Raw genomic sequence first — 7,649 nt, forward strand, 5'->3', positions numbered from 1 at the left:
TTCTGAAGGTCAGAGATTTGAAATGGGTCTCTCTCGGTTAAAATCAAGGTGTTGGGAAGGCTGTGTTTCTTCTGGAGGATCCAGGGAAGAATCCCTTTCCTTGATTTTCCAACTGGTATGGGCTGCCAGCATTCCTTGGCTCATGGCTCCTCCCTCCATCCTCAAAGCTGGCTACAGCCATCTGCATCCTTCTCACATTGCATCATTCTGACCTCTACTGACTCTCTCCATATTTTAGGACCCTTGTGATACCATTGGACCCACCTGGACAATCCAGAATAATCTTCCCATTTTAAAGTCAGCCAATTAGCAACCTTAATTCCCCTTGGCTGTGTAACATAACATATTCACAGATTCCTGAGATGGGAACATGGGCATCTTTGGAGGGACATTATTCTGTCGATCACAGGGCCTACTAGGAAATAACCCACTCAATAATCACACTGGTAGGTTTTGCTCACTTTCAGGAGTTGGCTCATGTCATTGGCAACGATGAGTGTACATCGACAGCGGAAGAATAACACTTCCAGCTTTAAAAGGAGAACAGTTAGTTCATTGTGATACAGAGGACTGTGTATGCATCAGCATATATCACAGCACACTGGGGAGGCGGCATGGGACACAAGAGCATGTACTTAGGGGACTTTGAATCAATTACTTTCTTTGTGGCATCAGTTTCTTGATGTATCAAATGGGAATAACAGCACCTACCTTGCAGGGTATTGCACATATTACATGAGATAATGGGAAGCAACTAACCCAATGCCTAGCCTATCATTAATGCTGTTTCTGCAGAACTGTTAGATTCTACTTAGAGTCAAATCATGTCCCTTTTTACACAATAACCACATGGAGAAAACATGCTATGGCCTCATTTCCCTGTGAGGCAAATTTTGGTTCTACCCCTACTGCAGCATTATAATTGGGTCCTAATTATCAAGTCTAAAGCAACATTTAGATGGCCTTAAAATAGCACTGTATATGAACACCTAGTTAATAAAAACCTTCTGGGGATGATAATACCACAAAATATTTACTCTCAAATTACTCTGGCAGACCATTTTCCGGGGACACTGCTGAGGGCTTGCCAAGAACAGTACTTGTCATATTTTAAAAATAGATGTCAGAAAACCATTCAATAAATGCAGTAGCTTTTATAGTCTTAAGAAATGGTGTTAGACTGCTTTATCCAGTTCAAATATAAAAGCAGAATTATTTTTTCTCATTTTGAGAGTCAATCATCAGATGTTTTCAGTAAGTGAATTTTAAACTATTTGGGGCATTGTACATGTCCTGCCAGTATTCTTTTTTTTTTTTTTTTAAATGGAGTCTCACTTTGTTGCCCAGGCTGGAGTGCAGTGGTATGATATCGGCCCACTGCAACCTCCACCTCCCGAGTTCAAGCTATTCTTCTGCCTCAGCCTCCGAAGTAGCTGGGACTACAGGTGCATGCCACCACACCTGGCTAATTTTTGTATTTTTAGTAGAGATGGGGTTTCGCCATGTTGGCCAGGCTGGTCTTGAACTTGTGAGTTCGTGATCCGCCTACCTCGGCCTCCCAAAGTGCTGGGATACAGGCGTGAGCCCCCACGCCCGGCCAAAGTATTCTTAAATATCTTCTTGGCATTCTTAATTATTTTTGTTTTAGCATTTTACAGAAGTTGGGGAAAAGCAAAAATTAGCTGCCCAAGGCCACCAAGGAAGCTAATGACAAACTAGAAAAAGAAATCCTAATTCCCATCTTAATGCCCCAACCACTAACATACTCATATGCAGTATTAAATGAAAACAAAGCATTCCCTCCTAGAGAACTTCCATAATCTCAGGAGAAATATTGACATATTGCATCTGAGTCATTTTTCTGTGGTCTGTCTGAGTATCAAATTCTGAAGCTCTCCAAGCTGTTCCAAATGCACACCTATTTTGTATCTATCTAGCCAGAGCATCTGGGGTGAAAAGAGCATTCTCAAATGCACGCTGATTTCAACATTCAGATGGTTTTTAGGGCAGTTCACGTAGAAAGGAATTATTTTCTTTGAAGAAAATTATTCCGACGACTAATAGCTTTCTCCTTCCTCATCCCTAGGGCTTCCCATGTTTTTTGAATTCTCCACTTCAGAGTAAATCCTTAAAGTGAAGCTGACTCATGTGCCCCATGATTAACCATAACTTCTTTTCCTTTCCTCTTCCAGATCCTTTCCACAATGTGAATATTTCCTGCGGTGGCTAGCCAAGAGTCTTCCGCCAGTCAAAATGAAGCGCAAGATGACCACGTTTTTTAGTAAGTGAAAGGTCTTTGAAAGTGGATTCCAGGTCTCCAGTGAACTTGGAGACAGGCTGCCATCTAATTGTATTTTTAAAAATCAAATTCTGAGAGCAATAAGATCAGGAAAAGGCACAAAAATGGGTGCAGTCATTGTCAACTTCACCAACCGATTTAGATCTGTATTGATGGAATTTGATGATTCTTATCAAAATAGACCTATAAATATAATCAGAAGTTATTTTGCATCCAAGAAACTTATCTAATTTAACCAGATTCCCAATTTAAGTCCTTGGAAGAACTGGCCACAGGCATAAAAGAATGCAATTGAAATGCCATGAATACTCAAGAATTTGTTTTTTTTTTTTCATATTTATCACTGTTGTTTCATAACAATATATTTCTTTTAGCTGACACATGTGTTTAGAAGTATGCATCTCAGAAAAGAACTCATATTTTTAAAATAATAATATCCGGTGGTAGTAAGAACACAAAATGAGCCCCAGATACTTCTGGTGAGAACTGGAATGGCCTTTCTGCTACTTGGCAATAATGTATCAAAAGCCTTAAAAATATGCATCACCTTTAACCCAGAAATCCCACTTCTTGAAATGTATTCTGATAAAATCATCAGCAAGGCACAGGAAGATATACACTTTCGTGCATCATTCTGTATGATATCATCATAGCATCCTCTATATCAAAAACTAAAAACCCATCTAAAAATAGAGAATCAATTAAACAAATTGTAACATATGTCCATAATATGGGATATATCCAGCTGTTAAAATTATGTTTTAAAAGAATTTGATGAAAAGATTTAAGATATAGTATTGAGTTAAAAATAAATTATATGCATTATGTACAGTGTGATTCCAATATATATGTAACTTTATGTGTAATGTGTAGGTGTATAAAAGAGAAAAAAGAATTCAAGGGTATGTCCCTAATATACCAAATACAGTGATAGTGATCATCTCTGGTGTTTCTGTACTTTCTGTCCTCTCTACAATGAAGATGTTTTACTTCTTAAGATCATAATACATGTTGGTGTTTTTTATTTCAGAAATGGGCTTTTGCAAGAAACAATCTTTGTTTCCAGTCTTGTTTCTTTTGTTAGCCATTTATCACCTTAAGTATTTACAGTGTTTGGTCCTAAGTAGTTGGACTGGCCAGATGCCAGGTCCCTAATGGTGTTTGAGTATGCTGGTGTATCAGGAGACAGGCGCAGCAGCAGCCAAGGGAGGGAATAAAGGGGCAGGGGAGACAGGGGTGAGGAGTAAAAGAGAAGCAACAGTTTTGATGCAAAGATGGATGGTGTCTTTTCTCTGGACACAGTCACGCATGGCTCAGGGGATGCCTGAAGGCAGGACACGGGAGCTGGTCCAGGGTATCAGGCCAAGCCTGGCTACTGTGTTGTGTCGGGCATTGCCAGGTCAGCCCCAGCTTCAGGGATGGCCTTCTGGTAATGTGGTCAGGAGGCTTAGCCTAGAGTGACAGAGGAATCTAAGTGGCAGGCATCTGGCTGGGAGGGGACCCACTCACTGGGCTGGAGTCAGTCACAGGCCTGGAGGTAGGCTCGTATCTTAGAATGACTGAGATATTATACAAGATGAGCATGTGGAGGCTGAGGATCCAGCCTCCACAACTACCGGGAATGCGCAGGGCTGGAGCACGTTTGGATGCAGGCAAAAGCCCAATTACCAGGACACAAAGTTGAGGCTAAACTTGCAGCAATGGTTACTTGATGTTAAGTCTCAGAGAGCTAGGCTACACTTGCTAGAATCTCTCCTGCCAATATGAGAATTGACAGGGACAACAAGCTGGTCTATTAAAGAAGGGTCTGCCGGACGCAGTGGCACACAGCTGTAATCCCAGCACTTATAAGACCAGCCTGGGCAACATGGCAAAACCCCGTCTCTACTAAAAATACAAAAATTAGGCCAGGCACGGTAGCTCACACCTGTAATCCCAGCACTTTGGGAGGCCGAGGCGGTCAGATCACTTGAGGTCAGGAGTTCGAGACCAGCCTGGCCAACATGGTGAAACCCCGTCTCTATTAAAAATACAAAAATTAGCTGGAGGTGGTGTCAGGCATCTATAATCCCAGCTACTTGGGAGGCTGAGGCAGGAGAACTGCTTGAACATGGGAGTTGGAGGTTGCAGTGAACTGAGATCATGCCACTGCACTCCAGCCTGGGTGACAGAGCGAAACGCTGTCTTAAAATAAATTAATTAATTAAATACAGTCACAAAAGTTAGCCAGGTGTGGTGGCATGTGCCTGTAGTCACAGCCACTCAGTAGGCTGAGTTGGAAGGATTGCTTGAGCCCGGGAGGTCGAGGCCCCATTGAGCTGTAATTGTGCCACTGCGCTCCAGCCTGGGTGACAGAGTAAGATCTCTTATGGAAAAAAAAAAAAAAAAGAAGAAGAAGAAAGAAGGGGCAATTAATTGACCCTAGTTGTGGGAAAAATAGGCAGGACATAGCATGTGAACAATTGAAGTGGAGTCAGAGAATTCTGTCAGAATCTCCCTGATGCAGTTTAGTTTACAATCAACAAGACAAGTGAATAGACATCCTCTATGTAGCAAAAACAGGAGGCCCTTAACAATGTGAACCTTAGCCATTCCTGCTCAAATCCCTTTATGATGTCCCTAATAAAGATACGGGCACACATCAGTTCAGATTGGTAATGTCAAGAATGTGTCAAAAATAAAAGGTTGGTCTACATGCATTGTAGCTTTGTTTTGCCAGATAAAGGAGAAATTTGTATAGGAGGGACATTTTAGTATCGCTACACCAATGCCTCTACTAAAAACTCATAAGCAGAATTTCTAACTCCATAGTTTCAATGAAAATGCCACACTATACAAAATATTCTAGCTCATCTGTTGTTTTTATAAAGAGTATTTGGTATTTAAATATTTGGCTGGAATACAAGGTTGAATTTTGCAGTATTTCTTTCCTTCAGATCCAAAAGTTGAAGATATTACTATAACCTTTACTGGAAACAAATGTCTCTTGATGATAGCCCACATTTGATTGGCTTTCCCAAAAGTACAGTTTCTACTCTATAGACCCTTATTTCGGTGGCTTATAGCTAAAGCAGCGATTCTCAATCTTGGTGTCTTATTAGAGTTGCTTGGGAGCTTTTATGATTCCCAGAGCCAATGCAGCAGACAAATGAATCAGAATCTCTGGAGGTAAAACCCAGGCATCAGGATTTTGTAAAGGTCCCCAGATAATTTAAATATGTGGTCAAAGTGGAGATCACTGGATGAGAGTGATCATATTAATTTATTATCCAAACTAGGACACCTTTAAGAGTGAAAGGTGACACTATTACTGATCACTTTGGGCCAGTTAAGTCCTAGCTATGCCAGGGTATATGGTCACTCTAGTTTTGGCCATCAGCTAATGTCACTCTTGTCCCTTAAAATTTACAAAAGCTCACATGAAAGCTCTACACCCCTTGGGAAATCCCAGTGTTTCTGGAATCTCTTGAAAATCCTTTTAATTTCCTTTAATTCTGATTTCCACCTTTGGTTGAATTCTCTGCTTAGTCTCTTAGAGCTTTTTTTTCCTCATCTTTACTTTGAGAATGGCCTAAACAGGGGACCCAGGCCCTTCTCCTGGTTCTCCATCCCACGCCCCAGAACAAATATCCTGAGGCACCTGGCTAGATCTAGCTAAAGGCAATCATATTGAATCACCATATAGGAGATCATTTTAAATGTAATAAATTTCCTGGTGCCTAAAAAGTTCCCTCGGCCATTTCTACTGCCCAGGACTCCAGTCTCTATCATATTTCCTGACTCTTCCTCTTTTTTTCTCTTCCATGTCGTCATTACATTCCTGCTTGTCCCTTTCTTATGCAAGGTGATCTACCACCTCTTTTTTTTTTTTTTTCTTCTGAGGCGGAGTCTTGCTCCGTCGCCAGGCTGGAGTGCAGTGGCGTGATCTCGGCTCATTGCAACTTCCACCTCCCAGGTTCAAGCAATTCCCCTGCCTCAGCCTCCAGAGTAGCTGAGACTACAGGCGCCTGCCACCACGCCCGGCTAATTTTTTGTATTTTAGTAGAAACAGGGTTTCACTATGTTGGCCAGGATGGTCTCTCTCTCCTGACCATGTGATCCGCCCGCCTCAGCCTACCAAAGTGCTGGGATTACAGGCATGAGCCACCGCCCCTGGCCTGATTTACCATCTCTTTAGTGCTTCGTTCCAACCTATGGTATAAGGGCTTCCCTGTCTATTCAGGGAGTATAGACAGGCTTCCAGGCTTCCCTGTCTATATTTATATATTATTTGAAGGGTTTAAATTGGGATTGAAATTCTAAATTTACTTGTGACAATAGGTGTTCCACCAAACAAAGCAGCATAAAGCAGCTTATCAAAGGCCTTTCTCAAAAACAGTTCCCTCTTTTAGAGAAACTCAAATGCCAGCTGGAAAACATGTTTTTGCTTACTCTACTGCACATTGACTTAGATATCCTTGGTGTCAAAACTTGCTAGGAACCCACTAGAATGGCTAAAATCAAAACAAGTGACAATGCTGAGTGTTGGCAAGCCCATATAGAAAGTGGAATTCTCATAGCTGCTAGTGGGGGTGTAGAAAGATACGACCACTTTGGAAAACTGTTTTGCACTTTCAATAAAGTTTAACACATATCTATCTTCTGACCCATCAATTCCACTACAAGGTGTTTACTCAAGAGAAACAAAAATATGTCCCCAGAAAGATTTGTGCAAGAGTGATCATAGCAGCTTTATTCATACTAGCCCAAAGCCGGAAACATCAACTGTCAACAGGAGAATGGATAAACAAATTGACACATCCATACAATTAAATACTACTCTCATCCATAGCATGGATGAATCTTACATTATGCTGAGTAAAAACCAAAAACAAAAAACCTGGACACAAGAATACATATTGTACAATAATATTTATATGAAATCCTAGAACAGACAAAACCATGCTATGCTGATAGAAGTAAGAAAGATGAGAGAAATTTCCTATATCTTTTTTTTTTTTTTCTTTTTTGAGATGGAATTTCACTCTTGTTGCCCAGACTGGAGTGCAGTGGTGCAATCTTGGCTCACTGCAACCTCCGCCTCCTGGGTTGAAGTGATTCTCCTGCCTCAGCCTCCTGAGTAGCTGGGATTACAGGTGCCTGCCACCATGCCCAGCTAATTTTTGTATTTTTTAGTAGAGATGGGGTTTCGCCATGTTGGCCAGGCTGGTCTCGAACTCCTGACCTCAGGTGATTCACTCACCTCGGCCTCCCAAAGTGCCGGGATTACAGGCGTGAGCCACCTTGCCTGGCCAAAATTTTCTATATCTTGTGCTGAGTGGTGAATACAATTGTAAAAAAAAAAAAAAAT

The 7,649-nt window shown here is 41.4% G+C and overlaps 1 annotated feature.

The window, feature by feature from the left end:
- Positions 5,242-5,742: an enhancer, noted in NCBI's record as "H3K27ac hESC enhancer chrX:19278446-19278946 (GRCh37/hg19 assembly coordinates)". NCBI's record gives its function as "activates a minimal SCP1, AML or CMV promoter by ChIP-STARR-seq in primed H9 embryonic stem cells {active_cell/tissue: H9 hESC(primed)}" and the evidence as "EXISTENCE:reporter gene assay evidence [ECO:0000049][PMID:30033119]".

Source organism: Homo sapiens, chromosome X (genome assembly GCF_000001405.40).
Source record: "Homo sapiens chromosome X, GRCh38.p14 Primary Assembly".
Classification (NCBI taxonomy): Eukaryota; Metazoa; Chordata; class Mammalia; order Primates; family Hominidae; genus Homo; species Homo sapiens.